At 35.1% G+C, this 22,443-nt stretch overlaps 1 protein-coding gene across 4 annotated transcripts in view; it reads right to left on the bottom strand.

Moving 5' to 3' along the window:
- PDE4B (phosphodiesterase 4B) overlaps positions 1-22,443 on the bottom strand; it is a 582,070-nt gene that overhangs the window by 457,947 nt on the left and 101,680 nt on the right. For 3 of the 4 annotated variants that reach the window (NM_001037341.2, NM_001297440.2, NM_002600.4), the window contains exon 2: positions 3,277-3,388. In NM_001037341.2, coding sequence (NP_001032418.1) covers positions 3,277-3,318 — 42 coding nt within the window. In that variant the 5' untranslated portion in view covers positions 3,319-3,388. Of the gene's footprint in view, positions 1-3,272; positions 3,389-22,443 lie in introns of those variants that run through there. The other variant, NM_001297441.1, reaches the window with a different exon arrangement.

Genomic DNA, 22,443 nt, shown 5'->3' with positions numbered 1-22,443 from the left:
AAGAATAAACTAAAGGAAATCATAATGGTAAATCAGTCTAGTTCCAAATATGCATGTAAAGAAAGCACTGGTTATCTGGAAAGCAAAGTCTTGAATATATACTTTATCTCTTATGTAAGACACACCTTACCAAAGAACAGAAATAAGGATATCTATCATGTAGCTAAACCGCCAACCACCCTAACCTCCTAATATGATTATTAGATATTTTTCTTCTTTAGAAAAAAGAACTATTACCATCCAGGTTTAATTGTAGTAAGTGACCTAAATGGGTACTATTTGGCACTTGTTATTTGAAAAATAAAAAAGTCACACCTATCACAAAATATTTCCCACACTAATTTGCAAACAAGCTCAAATTTTCAAATTTGAAATATTCTTTAAGTTAAAAAGATTTGTTCCAGAAGACCTCAGTTAATATTAAATGCATTGCCACAAAGTAAGAACATAATGGAATAGCTTTTCAGAAATTAAATTCAAGATGAAAACTTAATATTGTTTTACAAACACTAATTAACTCATGCAGATTTATTCATAATTACTTCACACTCTGTAATTCATACCCATAATTTATACACCACTACTCTAAAATTACTAAAAACCTCAAAGTAAAATTTAATTTAGTCAATTCTCAATTACTGATTTGTGATCTTGAACTTCCTTTCCTAAATTTTCAAATATTTTGCAGAAAGGAACATTAATTTGAATGTTACCTCTGGAAATCACAACTTTTAAAATGTATCATGGTTTCCAAAATTCCCTGGTAATATGAAAAATCCCTAAGGAAACAACGTAGTTTTGGATTATCCTTCTGTTTCTGAATAACTGTTTGTTTAAAAGTCAGTATTCTTGCCAATAAAATTTGAAAAGCTTGTCACAAAGGAAAAGGTAGTGTAAAATCCTGCACCTAAGTAGAAGTTTACAGAGAGGAGGGGGAGGGGACACCAAAGGACTGAGCTGTTTGTCATATCCCCATATCGAAACCAACCAAGTTAGGACCATTGAAATGTCCAGATGAGAAATGCTGGTGCTTAAGTAGTCAAGGTTTTGTTGCTGTTGTTACTTGTCTTTTGTTTTGTCTATTTCAGTCATTTTTGAAGCATTCTCTACTTTTTGAATTCTTTTGGTTAAACTCATAGTGAGAAAATGGAATAAGGTATTTTTAAGGTCTCCTACTGTGCTTCGGTACACATTCAATTTGGACCACAGGACATAATTTTTTAAGTCTTATGAAATCAGAAATGGAAATTATGGAAAGCAGCAAATGACAGTCAGAGTCCCTATTGAAGCTAAATGTCATGATACTCCATGAGACAATAATAAAAGTAATTTTTTCTTCAAAAACTGATTTCATTGTAGGCAGTCACCATCAATTACAAGAGTAGTTTGTTGGAATAATTTTTATCGCTCTTACTATTTTCCCTTCTTTGAAACAATCTCCTAATATATTTGCACATATAATTTCTGTGATTAGAAATGCAAATGAGAACCAAAAGTGTAATGTTAAATTTTCTAGTAGATACATTTAAAAAGTAAAAAGAAACAGGTAAAATTTAGTTTAATAACATATTTTACTTAGGCTTGCATATGCAAAATATAACCATTGCAACATGTAATATTATCAAAAATTATTAATGAAATGCTTTGTATTGCACTGTATATTCAAAATCCAAGATGTATTTCATGCTTACAGCACATTTCCATTTAGACTAATACTTAATAGTCACATGTGGCTGGTGGCTACCACAGTGGACAGAGTAAATCTAGGTAATATTTATTCAATATGGTGGGGTTAATGTTCATATCCATTGCATGCTTCTTGCAGGCAACCTTCCTCTTCTTTTGACTATGCCCACCATTCCCTCAGGGAGGATCAGGATTATTATTCTAAGGATGCAATGAGAAAGAACTAATGGTTTGTCCGTATGGAAGGCATTGCTCAGTTTTATTCTTCCAAAAAACAAAATATTGGCGCACACAGTATACAAATAGTATTAAGGGACAATCACAAGCCTTTTTTTTTTTTTTTAAGAAAAAAAGTTTTCTAAATTCCAGAAGTTTTCTTTTAGGTATCCTGAGCAACGCTGGTACTGAGAACTTAGACTATAACTTAAGGAAATGCCCTTCTGGTCCAGGAGAGAGGAAGAAAGAAAAAAAAAAAAGAAGAAGAAGAAGAAGTAAATGCTGCCACAAGTGACAGAACAGAACACATTAACTAGATTCTTTGACACAAAAAATAGAAATGGCAATGGAAAAGGAGTGTATTTGGGAAGGAAAAATCTAAATAGCACACCTAACTCTCCCTCTGCACTGTGGGTCCTACAGGAACACAGAAGGAAGCTGAGAATTAGTTCTAGCATTCTTGCCAAAGGCTTTGCTACGGTATGAGGCAAAGGGACCACAGGGCCCATAGGGTGAGCATCTGTGAAACAGGAGCTTAACAAGATGGATTATTACAGAAAACAAGGAAAATTGTTTTTTCTTCTTCCCTCCCTTCTTTCCTTTCACATATCTGATCAGCGGCACATAATTTTTAGTTCAATTACAAACAGTAATTGGGTAAAGATGAGACAATTAAAGACACACTAATGAAGGATTGGTCAATTGAAAGCAAAGAGATAATTAAGGACCAAGATCCAAAGCTATAGAAGATAGTTTACAGATTTCTTCAGATGATTTAGATCGGGGCTTTCAAACAAAGTACATACCTATTTACTCTGCTATCCCATTAAAATATAGTCTGATTTGTAGGTCTGAGGTGTGGCCTGAGATTCTGCATTCTCAATAAACACCCAGGTAATGCTAATACTGCTAGTCCAAGGACTACACTTCAGTAGCAAAGGCCTAGGGGATGTGTGTATCACAAGCTTCTTAGGAGTAGTTGTCAAAAACCCCACCACAGGAAGTGACTTTCAAGGGTTAGCTGTACATGGGTAAAAGTGTGGAAGAAAGTTATCAGAGAACTGATGATAATGCAAGCAGTGTGGAAAGAGGAATTATCTGAGAGTGAGGATCTGGGCATAGACTAGAGATTGGTGGTTCTGTGATTGAAAACCATAAAAGTGAAACTCAGCCCATTTCCAAGATGCAAAGAGGGCATTGTTCCTGCTGTCCAACTCACAGAACGTCAGGTCCAGGTGCTGGCTGTGCCCATGTCATAGAAACACCTAGTCACAGAGTGGTGTGTTAAATGCCCCCAGCTGCCCTTTGAATAGAATTATCCAGTGACTTCTTTATTGAACAGACCAAACATGATTGGGACCTTTTGAAACTTACATCATCAGCCATCACCGTCATCACACTCCTGCTTTTCTTCATTATAGAGGTGGAAAATATCCCCTCTTAGGATGTCTGTTATTCAATGCAGTTTGCTGACACTTTTTAATACCTACAGGAGAAAAAAACACACAAAAAAGAACAGCTCTGTATCCTTAAAGAAAAATATGTGGCATACTCTCTAAATTAACATTTGAAATATGTACAATGTACATGTAAAAGCAAACATCATAATTTCCCAAGCCAATTAAGTTTGATATGCTGAGAAAAGAGCTTCACAAAATATTAATACAAAAATCCAAGAAATTGGTACAAAGCTATTTGGGAAAAGATAGTAAGAATAATGAGTAACAATTAGGCTCCCAAATAATGATCATGAAGAATCTAAAAATAACATGCATTTTACACAAATGTTTTATAGTTTACAAAGTATATTCCCATAAAATATTTTATTTGATGCTTGCAACAGTTTGTTAGATTATTTTCATCACTTTTTCTACAAAGGAACAGAGAGAACAAATTATTTGGCCAAGGTAACACAGCTAAAATATGACGAGTTCAGAATTTAAAGAATATGACTGCTTTATACTGTCAAAAAAAAAGTGAAGAAAAGTAAACCAATACAGAATATATATACATGAAAGAAAAAAACCTTAATCTTAATTTTTACCACCAGTTTAAATCTCTCATATGTCTATTGCATAAACTAGTAGGCAATTACTTATCACAGAAAATTCTAGCAACCGGTAGTTAGAGCTTGAATTTCCTGGTTTAAGTCACACAAATCTAGCTATTTTGAGATAGAGATGCTGTAGTTCATGACATTGGCTTTGTGTAGATCACTGGAAGTCATTGCAGAAACAAAGAACCTCTATAACACTACCAGAATTTAAGGGTGCACTCTGATTGTGGAAACCAAAGGCAAAGCAGTTACTGGTTTATGAAGACTCAAAGGGAAGAGAGTGGGAGGGGGGTAAAAGGTGAAATAGTATCTATTGGGCACTGTCTTCACTATTTGGGTTGATGGGTTCACTGGAAGCCCAAATCTCAGCGTTACTCAATATATCCATGTAACAAACCTGCACATGTACCCACTAAGTCTAAAATAAAATTTTTAAAATATAAAGTTGTCATACAACAGACTACAAGACAATACAAAGAATTCGGTGTTTGCAGAATTTAACTGAAAAAAGATGTACTATAAAAAATACAAAATCCAAGAAGTATTAGTCCATATAATGGTTTCACAAGGTCTTAGTACCAAAAATATCCTGTATTGTTGCTGAGCTCAAGGACTCCTACATATTTTTTTCACTGTGTCCATTTAACCCTTAATGCATGCCTTATTTAAAAAAAAGTCTGCTTCTCTAGCATGAAGATATATATAGATTAACAGCATGATGAAATTGTAGCTATGTGACTAGGAATACTAAGCAGTGGCATTGTACCATCACCCAGGAAACCAGGGTTGAATTTCTAACACATAATTTGACTACATTATGCAGGAGTTGGCAGTGAAACTGACAAAGTAGATAAGAGAATGGGGGAAGGGAGAAACTTTGCCTTTATAAGTGCTCTAGGGAGAGAACCCCATGGGCTTTTCAGGTATTTGATTCAATATGCAAAGGACAAGAATTTCCTCGGCATACACCAAAGAATGATTAGAACTACGATGCCCCTCTAATGCTGACCAAACAGCAGCAGGCAGAATTTTAATACTTTTACTCAAAGGCTGCTTGAAACCCAGCAAAAGTAGACAAGCAACAAGAGATATTTTATCAGGGTTATAGTCAATATTGAGGGCCTCTATAGTTAGGGTTAAACCTGAAAAAAAAAAAGTTCAGACTCCTAAATTTAAGAAAAGCAAGATTTAAATGTGTTTTAAACGCAGGATATAAAACTATACATACTCAATGATTATAACTGTAAAGTTGTGAGCATATAAAAAATATTAAAGATGCTATGTGAAATGATGATAATGGAAGAATGATAATAATGGAATAAGGGTTATAGAAGGTTTTCTAAGTGAGTTGAATTTCTTTAGTGGAGAAAATGTAGAACAATATGATGTTCAAAAATATAAAAAGGAATGCCAAGAGTGCAATACATGTAGAAAGATGCCATGATGAGGAAGCTTACAACAGGCAGAGAGACAAAATGGTCCAGGGTAACATCAGTAGGTCTTTTTACAAGCAAGAGTATTTTTGTAAGGTCTTAGCCATGGAAATAAATTTGTTTTATGATCCTTTGAGTATGATAACTTACTATATAAATTCATGTGCCTTCAATCGGACACATGTCCTGACTCGGAAAAAGCAGGATCACAAATTACAAGGCAGTTTTCCAAATGTTCTACAATAAAAATACATTATTTTATATTTAGGGAAAAAAGTCAATATATGTTATATAAGACAAAAAAAAAGCAAGAAATATAGATTGATTGTTTTCTGGATATTCCTCATCTGCCCCTTCAGACCCACTCTTGGCCCTTCTCCATTCTGGTCTGTGCCCTGGGAGGCTGGTTCTCAGGTACTGTCTAGCCCTCTGGCTCCTGGGTATGTTCAGCCAATGGAGGCAGTTGCAAAAGATCAGAAGGCAGGAGGAAAGAGGGGACCCTCTCTGCTGGCCATAGTGTAGCCATGGCTAAAACGTTCTACTTGAGGTCACAGATCCTGCAGGCCTCCCTATTTAGCTGTAGAACCGGAAGCAGCTTCCCATTGTTGCTAGCCTCCTGGTATTTCATAGCCCTTTTTGTTTATCCTCAACCCTGCCCATACCCTTTGTAAATAGTACCTCCATTAAACTCTCTTTCAGCTTCTTTAAGAGAACAATCTATTTCCTACTAGGATCCTGACTAATACAGACTTGCTTCCAAAACTTTACAATAGTCAGAAGGTAATTGTTAAATATCTCCCCTCAGTTCCTAGCACAGTGACTGACACAAGCAAGTCTCAATAAATAAGTATTGAAAGAATAAATGAGTAGAACCTACTTGGAGATCTAGATTGGTTTTGATACTTTGAGAAAAGGTCGGCAAGCATTATCTCAATTTGTTTTTGTAAGGCAAAAATAGTTTTGTGTCCTCACTCACAGATGACAATGGAGATTCTTTTCAGGAACCTCTGCTGCCTTTTGTTTAGGCTAACAGAGATGGAGGATTTACCTTCAGCCATTTTTAAGCACTCTACGTACATGATTTCAATTATGTCATAAAAGCAACCAACCAAATGAGCTAGGCACAATTATCAAGACAAGTGAGGGAATCATTTCTTGGGAACAGTAATGAAGCCTGCCCAAAGGCATGCACTCTACTGGTTAAGACCAGAACATTCTTGTTCTAAAACCAAGACTATTAACCTATCACTGTACCACTGATTGGGTCTTATTTACATCTTTTCAAGGTGAAACTAGGTGAAATGGTCTTTATATCTTTTTTTTCTGATATTGGTAATACAAGTTAAGGTGATCAGTTTCCTGGAGCCATGCTCCCTACTAGCGTAAGGACAAAAAGGAGTGATATTAAAAGATACTAAAGTTTTTAAATGCCTCATATTTAAGGCAAATGTTGTAAGTGAGAGGACAGATCAGGTTCTCTTAATCTGAGATTACTGTCCCTTATAAAATTTGCTTCTGAATAAGCAAAACACCATATGCTTCATTAAAACAAAGTCTTTCTAAAAATTTCCAAGGTGACAAATGTGATGACAGATTCCATTTCTGATATATGTTTAATAGTTTTCCCTGTGGTTTTATATTTCACCACTTAAAAGATGCTTTTAAATTTATATTAGTCCTTCATAACGTTCTGTTTTATTCACACTAGAATATTCTTTATATAATTGCACCTTTTCCTCTTTCCCCTTTCTCCACAGATATTTAAAGGCTAAAATGAGGAAAAGGACCCTGACTTCTGTGTTAATGTGTGAATTTCACCTTTCACAGGTTAGAGTTATCAGTACTAGTGATACCTGGCTAAAAGGAATTTCAGTGAATAGTGATAATTATTTTAAAATTCTATATCATGGACACATGCTAGACAAAACCATGCAGAAATGAGAAAAACAAAAGTAATATTTTGAGTTTAAAAATACTACTTTTTTTCCAATTTAAAAAATATCTTTTATTTTGCAGATGATGTTCAAAAAGCTTTCATTCTATTTCTTATGTAACTGATTTATTGAACATTCTGAACTCAGTAGAGCACAGATATGAACTAGTCTTCATTTTTCTCCAATAACTGTTTTCCATATGCAATATCAAATCTATTCTCTCCTCCTTAACAACAGTTCAGATTGCTTCCATAACTCCCATCGTATAACTGTTTTAATTCAGTGGCCAGTGTCTGGGACTTGGAGTGGGAAGAAAGAATGTACTACTCTTTTATTCTTCCTCTCTATTTTTATCTTCAGGTTCTAACTCTTTCTATATTGTGGCAGAGTAGAAGAACTAATGACAAGAGGGAAAAGTCTTCTTACTTAACTAAGCATTTAATTGCAGTCCTTTTTGAGTGTCTCTGCTTCTCTGGTAAAATCAGACTTACTTTGACGCCTTCTCTAAGGAAGGTGTTGAGATGAGGCCCTTCCTGTAACGGGGCAGTAGGAGCTTTCACACTGGGGAGAAGTAACTTCAGTTCCACCCCCACTGGCACACATTGAAACTCCTGTTGGTAAGGTCCCCTTGCCCGATAGTCTACTCTCTTGATTGGAATAATGACATGATGGCTCAAGCTGCAATGTCCACTTGATCCAGAATAAGCTCAAGCATCCTTGTCACACTAAATATATATATCACTAAATGTATGTATACTAAATGTATAGATACACCTAAATGTATAGGCTGCTTTGCTGCTATTTCTTCTCTGTTCCTTGCTATATCTCTCCACTTCTCTTTCTCCTTCTCAAAAAAGCACAAAATCCTTCTCCATAAGTGATCAATGGAGAGAAGAGATACTGTCAGTTATTTACCAATGTCTTTCAGCCCCAAGCCAATCATTCTAAATTCTGCTATGTGAATCAAACTACATTGCAGACTACATCGCAAACTATATTTAACAGATTCTCTTTCTAGGTGGCTTCCTTTAGGTGCTGACAATGGAAATCACTGGTAGGAGACTAGAAGAGACTTGGAGAGAGGAGACCCTCTTTATTCTTCCAGGAGAATTGACAAATTGCTTGTATTAAATCCTTTTGTTTTCCTAACTGGAGCCTAAGGGATACAGAAGTTAACCTGTCCTTTGTTGAAGGCACTTGTCTCTAGAAATGGTTCTTCATTTTCAGTAGGCCAATAACGCACTTCTCCAACACCTCCTCTCCCCACCTAGAGTCTATGTATATGAGAGTTCAGAGGTTGCCAGGATGAGGATTAGAATCAGAACCCATCTGGCTGCCTCTGCCTCAGAGCGAGGTACGAGACCACCCTTGTGTATGTCTATCCTTACAGAACGTGAAATAGTTTGATGGCTTTTAGTTCACTGTTTTGGGTTACAGTTGCCCTTTCTAGCTTAACAGGAAAAGTCCTACTCATCTCCTTTTAGATGAGAAAATGTCCATTTATGAAATGACAATAATATAATGAGGCATTGGTGTATTTTTGCTTTGTTTCTTAATGTTCTGAACTGAGAAAACTAAAAATTGGCAATTCTACGTAAGTCTCCTAATTCTTTGGAAATTTTATCAATTCATAAAGTATAAACGTCTAAGAACCTCAAAACTAGACCATGGGATCTTGACTTTTAAAACTAACATCAAGGTTTAGTTCAAGAAAAAGAAGGTTTTCTGGTTTGTGCTAGCATGTACTGTACTATGAACTGAAGGAAGACATGCCGGATAAAGCAGAGCCTGAACTGCTGTCTCCACTCCCAGCCCCGACATCCACCTAGCTCTAGTTATCCACTTAGCTCTGGGACTTCGGTTTCCTCAATTGTCAAATAAAGGGATTGGAGTATAATCATCCGTAAACTTTATGAAACTAATGAAATTCCAGAAAACTAGCAGAAATAAACACAAACTATAAAAAACAACTCTAAAGACTCAACAATTAGATAAACATATCAGAATTTGATACATAAAATATTAGACTTTCCCCCTTAATTTGCATCTACTGCTCTCTTCACACTTTCAGAAATTCAGGACTACTGCACTCAGTTATTGCTGCTTTCTTATTTTAATATGATGGAGATAAACAGAGGCAAATGTGCTTCCTCCCCAAAATTTTTGAAGTTGTATGATGCAAAAAATAAAGAGCAAGTAAATTTGAGGGGAAAAAAGTATATGTAATAAGAAAGGTCATTTTATTTGTAAAGTTGCTCAATATTTAGACACAAACATTGCTTGGAGAGAAGAATCAGTTTTTTCAATTAAGTAATAAGTATCAATGACTTTTGAGATAAAAACTGAAAAGTGCTAGGGATTAATATGAACTTAAACCATTAGCTTATCCTGAGAGAACAATAAGTAACAAAGACATAATGGCATCCTTTTAAATAATCATCAAAAGGCAAAGTAGCCAGGCTAAATGCTGCTTTGAGTAAAACATGTCTCCTGAACAACCACTTAAACCAATTTCTACTATAAAATACATTCTTTGTAAATTACTAATAGGGCATGCATTTGAAATCAATACACATGGTGACAAAAAAAGAAAGAATTCTTAATATTCAATTTGCTGAGCTGAATGCTAATGTTCAACAATAACACAACAGAGAGAAAGTGACAAACTAACCCCATGTTTCTGCTTGTGTAAATAATGCCTCAATGAATTTGTTAGTGAATTTCCCTGCAGTATATACTAAGTGGGTAAGTTTTAAAGAGTTGAATTATTTTTCCTAGTCTAAAAAAAAGTAATCACTGATTAATCTCTTATGGTTTAAAATACCATAAAGAGGCATATAAATCACTTTCATTTCAGCCATTTTTTGTTTCATCTTAAACAAAAGGAAAAGAACAAAAAAATCCCTGTATTCAAATCTATTAATAACCTGGTATTGCAAGCTCTCTCCACACCTGAGAGTTTTCATCTCTGAGTTATCACTGTGCCAAAGTGAAGATGGCATTAGTGGAGGTTTAGGATGGATTAGAGAATTTTTTCCGTCTCCTAAAATAAACCACAGAAGATCTACAAACAGATGTAATAGGCAAGTATGGCTGAAACACATTCAATTCATTTAATATTTGCTGGGCATCTGCTCATGCTCAAATTTAGATCTTCTAATGCTACCCTCAAAGGTATTTATCAAACAGCCACTCTAGGATTTCAATTAATATTACCAACTTTCAATGAGAGTATAAAAAATTAAATTGCATCCATGATCCAAAACCCCCATTTCCATCCATCATGAAAAACCACTTCTTTTCATCTGATTTCTCAACAACAACATCAACAAAAGATTGAGAGCCCAACATGTGGTAGGGACTTGCTAGATGCCGTGGATAATACAAAGACGAATATACATAGTCCTTGGCCTTAAAATGCCCCTGTCTCATCTTAGGAGAGGAGAATCAACGCTTATTCATCCTACAATACTGAACACCTTGGCCTGGGTCAGGTTCACAGTGCAGTGTGAGAAGTGCAACAGATCATGGGTTCATTAGGTGAAAAAATGAGTGAAGCCACCTCTATGGGCAAAATGTTATCAAGGAAAGCTTCATTGAGGAGGCTACTGTCCTTTTCCAGGTATTGTAACTAAGAAACAAAGAGAGAAGCCCTTCCACTCCCCCTCTCTCTATTCTCCAGTGTGATCTTTTAAAAATGCAAAATTCCTTATATTAATCCCCAGCTTTGCATTCTTCATGCTTTCTGTAATTTTTAGGATAAAGCAAAACCCTTAATATGAAGATTAATCATACAAGTCCCTACAGATCTGGTCCCTGCTTGACTTTTAAACCTCAACTTCCTATTTTTGCTTCCACTTGCTTCCCCACCTTATGCTTATGCCACATCACTCTCCCCTGTAACTCATTTAGCTTTAGTTCGACTGGATGTAGAGTGTATCCAGCATGCCCTTCTTGTCTCCAAACTTTTCCTACACTATAACATGTCTTCAACTTTGCCGGGCTAACCCATTCTTCAGCCTTCAGCTTTGATGTCATTTGTTCAGAAAAGCCTTTATGGACTTCCCCTACCTGTAAGAAGGTATTATCACATTATTTTTCTATTCACAGTATTTTTCACAATTACATATTTGTTTGTATGAATGAATAGGTTTATGCCTCCCAGAAGCTCATAGAGAATACTGCCAACCACTATATCTCTTGTGCCAAGCAATAAATATTTGCTGGAAAATGTTTGAATGAGTAGACTAGATAGGCTTGAGGCCTCTTGCTAGATTCCCTGAAAGTGTGATAATCCAAAAGCAGCAGATAGGAGGGGGCAGGAAATAGAATCAGAATGCCTGGTAAACTGCAAATGTCAGCTATATTGACAGGATACATATTCCTACTCTTCTGACAGAGATATGAATAACTTTATGGCAGGCACTATTCTATAGTCCCTAAATCTATCATCTCATGTAATTCTCACAACTATTTTTATCTCCATTTTGCAGGGGAGAATTCTGAGGCCCAGAAAGGGTGAATGACTCATCTAAGCTCACTAATCTAGGAAAAGGCAGAGAGACAGGATTCACACCCAGGCACTATGCCTGCAGAGCTCATGAAATTAACCATTACGTCTGCTGCCACTTGGAAGCAGCAAATAAGCATTGTTTATCAGAGAACAAGCAGCAAATAGGATGGGTCAGGGCCAAGAAACAGGATAATTGGGAATAAAAGTAGTATTTCAGAACAAGAAAGGAATCAGAAGATTTTTTTAATGATGAAACATAAAGGAGAGATATGCAGTTGGCAGAACATATGGAGCCTATGAACAGCTACTCTTTCATGTAATCTCATAGGAATTTACATTAAATTGGAAAACGTAAATTGTGTGTATAAAACTGTATATCTAAAACATAACTTAAAAAGCATAATAATTTGTCTCTGTTTTATCTTATGTTTCAACAAGAATTCACCAAGTATTTTTTCTTCTAAATTAGACTTTGATCCAATACTAAATTTTTTTTAAGTTAATACAGAAGACTCATGACATTCATTCACAAGTGCTATGTCTCTAGACTTCAAAAAATTGTCCACCTGTACAGTGCTGTTCAAACATGTTTCATGGGGTATATGGGACACAGACAGTAATTTGGTGTAAGTCTTCTATGTAGACTCAAAGACCCCAGACACTCTTCATCAAGTAACTTTTTTTCCTTTCTTGGGAAGACCACTGAAACAACAAAGGGCAATAGTTCATTCTTGTTTTAAGCAAGCAAGCACACAAAATTTCTGTGCATTCCTTTCTCAGAAATATAAATACTACATCATTACAGACTTCATAAGAGGAAGATAACAAAAATGTGAGAAATCTTTCCAGGACTTCAAATGAATTAATGGCCTAATATTTACTGGCTTAACTGAAATATAATTGGATATGAAGTCTGCCAGTGATTCCCTACCTAGAAGCAACATCCAATTTGGGCCTGTCTGTCCCAGCTCTATTAAAATGTCAGGGGATTCAGGTCTATGTGGACATACGAAAAATAAGCATGTAAACAGAAACAATTTCAAAAGCAGAAGGCTGAAACTCATGTGGTAATACTAGAATGCCACATAATATTGTTTTGATAGAACATAAAGGAACATAGAAATACATTTTTATTGGTCTTTAAGTGTCTTCATATTTAGAAACTATCATTTCCTTATTTATTTTTGTTTTTTTAAATTTTTTAAAAATTATTTTGAGACAGGCTCTTGCTCTATTGCCCAGGCACGACCATGGCTCACTGCAGCCTCAACCTCGTGGGCTCAACAGATTCTCCGACATCAGCCTCTCAAATGAGCAGGGACTACAGATGCACACTCCCACACCTGGCTAGTGTGTGTGTGTGTGTGTGTGTGTGCATGTGTGTGTGCATATTTTGTAGAGATGGGTTTCGCCATATTGCCCAGGCTATATTTATTTTTAAAGATGAGAAATTAAGCTTTGCCCTAAGAATGGACTCATCCATGAAATTTGACAAGCACCTAATACATTTGATATGCAGGAAATGAGAGGCCAGAAGGAACAAATATTAGAGGACAAAGAGACTTAGCAGCTACAACATCTAATTTTTAACTATTTTACATTCTGGAACTCTGTGTAAGATTTTACTTGACAAGAAGTTCTGCCACTTAAAAAGAAAAGCTTGAAAACCACTACAGTAGTGCTTATTATACCCACTTCCATAAAATGTCTTAGAGCAGTGATTTTCAACTTTTACTTATTAAAATACCACCTTTGTAATGTTTGCCATACCATGATTCCCTTATTTTACAGATAAAATATAGAGATCCATAAAAGCTGACCTGTCATTCACCTAGTTGGTTGCATAACTTGGCTTTTGGTCCACAGTTTGTTCCACTACAGTGCCTATATCTGCAGACTCTAAATTAAAGGGTTGTTTTGTTTAGTTTTGGTTTTGTTTCAGCAAAAGCTTATTTATATATTGGAAAGCATTCTAAAACCAAAAAATATACTTCTGCACCCACCAAAATCTTATTTATGAATTCATATAGTCATGTACTTGGGCATTTATTCATTCATGTATCCAACAACAATTTATTGAGCATTACTGAGGGCTGTGTACTGTATAGGCATTGAGGAATCATAGATGAAACAGTATGACTTCTGTCCTCAAGGACTGTTGAATCTAAGTAGAGTATCATCACAATCGTAATGCACAACTGATACAATCAGTTATATGACAGAGATGCTTTACAAGGTGTGACAATAACTTAGAGGAAAGTTATGTAAGTCTGCCTAGGAGGACCAGGGAAGGCTTCATCAAGAAAGTAAATCTGAACTGTGCTTTTGTAAGGTAAGTGGAATTTTATCAGGAAGATGAAGGAAAGTAGTTGATTCATAAACAAAACTTCTTATCACTGATACTTAGCTACCAATAAGAGCTCAATTAGTGACTATGAAATCATTAACAAGTCATTTGATCCTTCTAATCTTCCATTTCTATTGGCAAAACAATTATTTGTTGCATACATTTCTGATATGGCTTCAATAACACATAATCAATATAAGAAAGTGTTAAAACATTGCATGCTACTCTAAGATCAACCACAGACTCATCCATAAATTAAGTCTCAATAAGTTCAAGAAAATCAAGATCATACCCACCATACTCTCAGTCCACATTGGAATAAAAATAAAAGTCAATACCATGAAGATCTCTCAAAACCACACAATGACATGGAAATTAAACAACTTGCTCCTGAATAACTTTTGGGTAAATAAAAAAAATTAAGGCAGAAGTAAAAAAATTTCTTGAAATAAATGAAAATAGAGACACATACAAAATCTCTGGGATGCAGCAGAAGCAATGTTAAAAGTTTATAGTGCTAAACACCTAAACCAAGAAGTTAAAAAGATCTCAAATCAATGATCTAAGATGACACCTAGAGGGACTAGAAAAATAAGAACATACTAATCCCAAAGCCATCAGAAGAAAAAACATAACTCAAATCAGAGCAGAACTAAATGAAACTGAGACTCATAAATCCATCCAAAGAAACCAAAAATTGTTTCTTTGAAAAGATAAACAAGATGAATAGAACACTAGCTAAATTAACAAAGAAACACACAACCTCTCAAGATTGAATCAGAAAGAAATTGAAACTTCAAACAGACCAATATCAAATTCAAAATTGAATCAGAAATAAATTGAAACTCTGAATAGACCAATATCAAGTTTTGAAATTGAATCAGTAATAATAAAACAACTTACCAATCAAAAAAAGCCCTGGGCCAGATGGACTCACAGACAAATTTTACCAAATGTACAAGAAGAGCACTTCTCCCTAATTCATTCTATGAAGCCAACATAACCCTGATACCAAAATCTGGCAAAGGCACAACAATAAAACTACAGAAATATGCCTAATTAACATATATGCAAAAATCTTCAACAAAATATAGCAAACTGAATTCAGAAGCACATCAGAAAGTTAATTCATCATGATCCAGTAGGCTTTATTCCTGGGATGCAAGGTTAATTCATAATATGCAAATCAATAAATGTGATTCATCACATAAACAGAATTGAAAACAAAAACCATATAATCATTTCAATGATGCAGAAAAAGCTTTAAATAAAATCCAACATCCCTTCATGAAAAAACTCTCAACATATTAGGCATCAAAGAAACATACCCTCAAAATAATAAGAGCCATGTATGAAAAACCCACAGCCAACAGCATACTGAATGGGCAAAAGCTGGAAGCACTCCCCTTAAGAACAGAAGCAAGACAAGGATTCCCACTCTCACTACTCTTATTCAACATTGTACTGGAAGTCCTAGCCAGAGCAATCAGGCAAAAGAAAGAAATAAAAGTTATCCAAATAGGAAAAAAAGTCAAATTGTCTATCTTCGCTGACAATATGAGTATATACAGAGAAAACCCTAAGGACTCCACTAAAAGGTTCCTAGAACTCATAAATGACTTCAGTAAAGTTTCAGGATACAAGATCAGTGTACAAAAATTAGTAGCATTTCTATACACCAATAACATTCAATCTGAGAGCCAAATCAAGAATGTAATCTCATTCACAATAGTCATGCAAAAATGTAACATACCTAGGAATACACCTAACCAAGGAGGTGAAATATCTTTAGAAGGAAAACTCTAAAACATTGCTGAAAGAAATCACAGATGACACAAACAAATGGAGAAACATTCCATGCTCATAGATTTGAGAAACCACTATCATTAAAATGCCCATAATGCCCAAAGCAATCTATAAATTCAGTGCTATTCCTGTCAAACTAACATCATTTTTCACAGAATTAGAATAAAACTATTCTAAAATTCGTGTGAAATTAAAAAAAGAGCCCAGATAGTGAAAGCAATCCCAAACAAGAACAAAGCTGGAGGTATCATAGCTCCTGACTTCAAACTATACTATAAGGCTATAGTAACTAAAACAACATGGTACCCAAACAAAAACAGACACATATACCAATGGAACAGAATAGAGAAACCAGAAATAAAGCCACACATCTACAACCATCTAATCTTCAACAAAGTCAACAAAAATAAGCAATGGTAAAGGACTCCCTATTCAATAAGTGGTGCTGGCGTAACTGGCTACCCATAGGAAGAAGAATGAAACTGGACCCCTACATTTCATCACATACAAAAATTTTCTCAAGGTTGATTAAATATTTAAATATTAAACCTCAAACTATAAAAATCCTAGAAGAAAATCTAGGAAATACCCTTCTTTTTTATTTTTTTATTTCCATACGTTATTGGGGGAACAGGTGGTGTTTGGTTACATGGGTAAGTTCTTTAGTGGTGATTTGTGAGATTTTGGTGCACCCATAAATCAAGCTGCATACACTGCACCCTATTTGTAGTCTTTTATCCCTCACCCCCTTCCCACCCTTTGTCCCTGAGTCCCCAAATCCATTGTGTCATTCTTATGCCTTTGCATCCTCATAGCTTAGCTCCCGCTTATGAGTGAGAACGTATGATGTTTGGTTTTCCATTCCTGAGTTACTTCACTTAGAATAATGTCTCCAATGTCGTCCAGGTCACTGCAAATGCCATTAATTCATTCCTTTTTATGGCTGAGTACTATTCCATTATATATATATATAAAATGGAATATATATAATATATATTATATATATAAATTACATATATATATATACATATGTAACGTTTCTTTATCCACTAGTTGATTGATGGGCATTGAGGTTGGTTCCACGTTTTTGCAATTGCGAATTGTGCAGCTATAAACATGCATGTGCAAGTATCTTTTTTGTATAATGACTTATTTTCCTCTGGATAGATACCCAGTAGTGGGATTGCTGGAGCAAATAGTAGTTCTACTTTTAGTTCTTTAAGGAATCTCCACACTGTTTTCCATAGTGGTTGCACTAGTTTACATTCCCACCAGCAGTGTAGAAGTGTTCTCCGTTCACTGCATCAACACCAACATCTACCATTTATTTTTTATTTTTTTTATTATGGCCATTCTTGTAGGAGTGAAGTGGTATCACATTGTGGTTTTAATTTGCATTTTCCTGATCAATAGTGATGTTGAGCATTTTTTCACATGTTTGTTGGCCAATTGTACATATTCTTTTGAGAACTGTCTCTTCATGTCCTTAGCCCACTTTTTGATGGGATTTTTTTGTTTTTTTCTTGCTGATTTGTTTGAGTTTGTTGTAGATTCTGGATATTATTCTTCTGACAGATGTATAGATTGTGAGGATTTTCTCCCACTCTGCAGGTTTTCTGTTTACTCTGCTGACTGTTCCTTTTGCCATGCAAAACTCTTTAGTTTAATTAAGTTCCAGCTATTTATCTTTGTTTTTATTGCATTTGCTTTTGAGTTCTTGGTCATAAAATCCTTGCCTAAGCCAATGTCTAGAAGGGTTTTTACAATGTTATCTTCTAGAATTTTTATAGTTTTAGGTCTTAGGTTTAAGTCCTTAATCCATCTTGAGTTGATTTTTGTATAAGGTGAGAGATGAGGTTCCAGTTTCATTCTCCTACATTTGGCTAGCCAATTATCCCAGCACCCTTTGTTGAAAAGGGTGTCCTTTCTCCACTTTATGTTTTTGTTTGCTTTGTCAGAGATCAGTTGTCTGTAAGTATTTTGGTTTATTTCTGGGTTCTCTATTCTGTTCCATTGGCCTGTGTGCCTATTTTTATACGAGTACCATGATGTTTTGGTGACTATGGCCTTATAGTATAGTTTGAAATCAGGTAATGTGGTGCCTCCAGATTTGTTATTTTTGCTTAGTCTTGCTTTGGCTATGCAGCCTCTTTTTTGGTTCCATATGATTTTTAGGATTGTTTTTTCCAATGCTGTGAAGAATGATGGTGGGGAAATACCCTTCTTGACATTAGCATTGGCAAAGAATTTATGACTAAGTCCTCAAAAACAACTGCAATAAAACCAAAATTTGACAAGTGTGACCTAATCAAACTAAAGAAATACTGCACAGAGAAAAGAAACCTATCAACAGAGTAAACAGAAACCCCACAAAATGGAAGAAAATATTTGCAAAGTATGCACTGACAAAGGTATAATATCCAGAATCTTTAGAAACAAACAATTCAACAAGCAAAAAACGACCCCATTAAAAATGGGCAAAGGACATGAAGAGACACTTCTCAAAAAAGACATATAAGTGGCCAAAAGGCATATGAATAAATGCTCAACATCACTAATCATCAGAGATGTGCAAATCAAAATCACAATGAGATACTATCTCACACCAGCCAGAATAGCTATTACTTAAAAGTCAAAAAGTAACAGATGATTGCAAGATTGTAGAGAAAAGGGAAGGCTTATATACACTGTTGGTGGGAATGTAAATTAGTTCAGCCACTGTGGAAAGCAGTTTGGACATTTCTCAAAGAACTTAAAACAGAACTACCTTTTGACCCAGCAATTCCATCACTGGGCATATACCCAAAGGAAAATAAATCATTCTCCCAAAAAGTCACATGCACTCATATTTTAATCATAGCATTAATCACAATACCAAAGCTATGAAATCAACCTGTGTGCCCATCAATGGTAGATTGGATAAAGAAAATGTGGTATATGTACAGCATGGAATACTATGCAGTCATAAAAAAGAACAAAATCATGTCCTTTGCAACAACTTGGGTGCAGCTGGAGGCCATTATCCTAAGCAGATTAACACAAGAATAGAAAACCAAATACACACGCTCTCACTTACAAGTGGGAGCTAAGCATTGGGAAAAATACACACTGGGGAATACTAGAGAGAGAAAAGAAGAAAGGGGTCAAGGGCTGAAAAACTACCTATTGCCTGAGAGATGGAACCATTCATACTCCAAACCTCAGTATTACCCAAGTAACAAGCCTGCACATGTACCCCTAAATCTAAAAGAAAAGTTGAAATTGTATTGCATGCCTTTAGGAAGACAGGAGCATTAATATTTCTAGGATTGATGATAGGCATTTGAAGATTCTCCAATATAAACTTTATTCTATGCAAGCCAATGCATTATATATCTGTGTACAGGTAAGGTCTCTGCAATTGGATTCAGACAAACTCTGGGTTGAAATTCTAATTCTGTCCATAGTAACTGTGGAACATTCAGCAATTTATTTGACGCTTCTGAAACTGTGTTCTTATTTATTAAAATAGAAATAATGCATCCTATATATCTGACAGGGTTATTTTGAGGATTAAATGAAACAGTGAGTGATGCCTGGCAAAGTCTTGCATGTGAGTAGGTCCTTATTAAATACTTTGCTGAATCACAATCCCACCATTTCAGTTAAGTCTCATGCTCTTCATTTCACCACAAAATGCCCTCTTTCAACCTCACTTCCTTTTAAAAAACACAATAGAAATAACAATACCTTACATAACTCTGCTTTTGAGCTATTTATGCCTAAATTTTCTTATTACAAAAGAATATAACAACTGCTTCACAGTCTCCAGGGATCCAGACAGGAGGTCAAGATGAATCTAACAAGGTAAACATTACAATCACCACAAAAGGACGAATCATAAGATGAAGAAATAATATAATTTCTTAAATGGCATTTATCCCAAGTCTTTCAGACTATATATAATCATGAATGATTATAGCAAACAACAAATACTGACAAATTACTATCCAGCCACAAATGTAGTCTATAATACTCTCCCTCAGTGTTGGTGAATAGGAACCAATAACTATTTCTCTCTTTTATCATAAAGCTAAATAACATTGCCTGGATCACAGAAAGATTTTGGGCTTACTTCTGTTTCTCAGACTGTCATTACACAGACTGTGTGTGTATATACACACTGATATGGTTTGGCCATGTCCTCACCCAAATCTCATGTTGAACTGTAGCTCCATAATTCCCATATGTCATGGGAGGGACACAGTGGGAGGCAATTGAGTCATGGGGGTGGGTCTTTCCCACACTATTCTAGTGATAGTGAATTAGTCTCATGAGATCTGATAGCTTTATAAAGGGGAGTTCCCTTACACAAGCTCTCTTGCCTGCTGCCATGTAAGACATGACTTTGCTCCTCATTTGCATTCCATCATGATTGTGAGGTCTCCCCATCCATGTGAAACTGTGAGCCAATTAAACCTCTTTCTTTTTTAAATTATCCAGTCTCAGGTATGTCTTTATTAGCAGTGCGAGAACAGACTAGTAACACATACACACACACACATGCATATATAAAAAATGGAATGTAGATCATTTTTTAAAACAAATACCAACATCCTTCAAATATAGAATGCAAAGGTTACAGAAAATCTTCCTATTCACTTCTTAGGGAATTACTATAAATAATTTGAAGTATTATTATTATTATTATTATTATTATTATTATTATTTTCTTTTTCATCTTTGCCCAGATGACAATAAAACAACTGTCATTATTATCATTTGTAAACCATGTTAAATCTAATACTGTGTTAAGTAATACTGAATAGAGAGAAAATTGCCTTTATTCTCCAGGATTTATATCTGTAACTTCTCCTGTTTCATTATTATCTGGTCATGATTTTTAATGCCTAATGGGAAATTAGGCAATGATCTCCATCCTAATTTTTACAAGACATTCATCCACTTATTTAAAGAAGGTAAATAGTATATTTTTACTATTTGACAGAACATAAAATTAATGTTTATGTGTGGTGAGAAACACGGTCAATGTTCATGTAGACCCCATATTTATCCTGTGGTTGAAGTGTCTTTTTTTTTTTTTTTTTTTTTTGAGACAGTGTCTCACTCTGTCACACAGGCTAGAGTGCAGCGGCGTGATCTCAGCTCACTGCAACCTCTGCAACCCGGGTTCAAGCGATTCTCCTGCCTCAGCCTCCTGAGTAGCTGAGATTACAGGTGCCTGCCACCATGCACAGCTAATTTTCATATTTTCAGTAGAGATGGGGTTTCACCATGTTGGCCAAGCTGATCTTGAACTCCTGACCTCAGGTGATTCACCTGTTTCGGCCCCCCAAAGTGCTGGTATTACAGGTGTGAGCCACCGCACCCAGCCTGAAGTATCATTTTCTCAGCATACCTGAAGTAAAAATGGTATTGAAACTCACCTACTTTAAGCTGAGTAATGTATACAGTTCTCTAACATTGTTAAAACTAAGACACAGAATTTTTCCATCATTTTGCCTCTTTGTGATAAATTCCATCCCCTCACACCTTATAAAGTTGCAATGAACATTCAAGTACAGTACAATATTTTTAAAGACATATGTTTTAATTTGTCTTGGGTAAGTAGCTAAGACTGCGATTTCTGAGTCATTTGGTAAATGTATATTCAACTTTAAAAGAAACTACCAAGTTAATTATCAACATGGCTAAACTACTTTGCATTCCCAGCAGCAGTGTATGAGACTTCCAGACACTTTGCACGTTTGCCAAAACTTACTATTACCAGGTTTTTTGTTCCTGTTTTTGTTCATTTTACCCACTCTAGTGGGAGTATAGTAGTATCTCACTATGCTTTTGATTTACATTTCCCTAAGAACTAACAATGTTGAGCATCTTTTCATGTGTTTATCTTCCATTCATATATTTTCTTTTGTGAAATGATGTTCGACTTTTCCCCCATAATTTTATTTGGTGATTTTTCTCCCTACTGGTTTGTAAGAGTTGCTTACATGTTTTGAAAACAAATTATTTACAAGATATATGCTTTGTAAACATTTCCTTCAAGGCTGAGACATGTCGTTTTATTTTCTGCACAATGTCTTTTAAACAGCAAAGTTTTTAGGTTTAGAATTTTCCAATTTATTAATTTTATATGGTCTGACATTTTGTGTTCTAAGAAATCTTTGATCAACCCATCATTTCATAGATTATGTTCCTATATTTCCTTCTAGAAGTTATATATTTAAGTTTCATATGTATATGTTCATTTTGAGTTAATTTTTTTATATAGCATGAGTTATTATACAAATTAATTTTCCCATATAACATCCAACATTAATTGTTGAAAATACTACCTTTTTCCTCTTTAAGTTACTTAGAAAATTACTTGCTGGTATAGGCATGGAATTATTTCTGGACTCTCTATCTTAGTGTCTATCCTTATGCCAATAGAATATTGTCTTAAAATC

The sequence above is a fragment of the Homo sapiens genome, chromosome 1 (genome assembly GCF_000001405.40).
Source record: "Homo sapiens chromosome 1, GRCh38.p14 Primary Assembly".
Lineage (NCBI taxonomy): Eukaryota > Metazoa > Chordata > Mammalia > Primates > Hominidae > Homo > Homo sapiens.
This window is presented reverse-complemented; position numbering and strand designations above follow the sequence as displayed.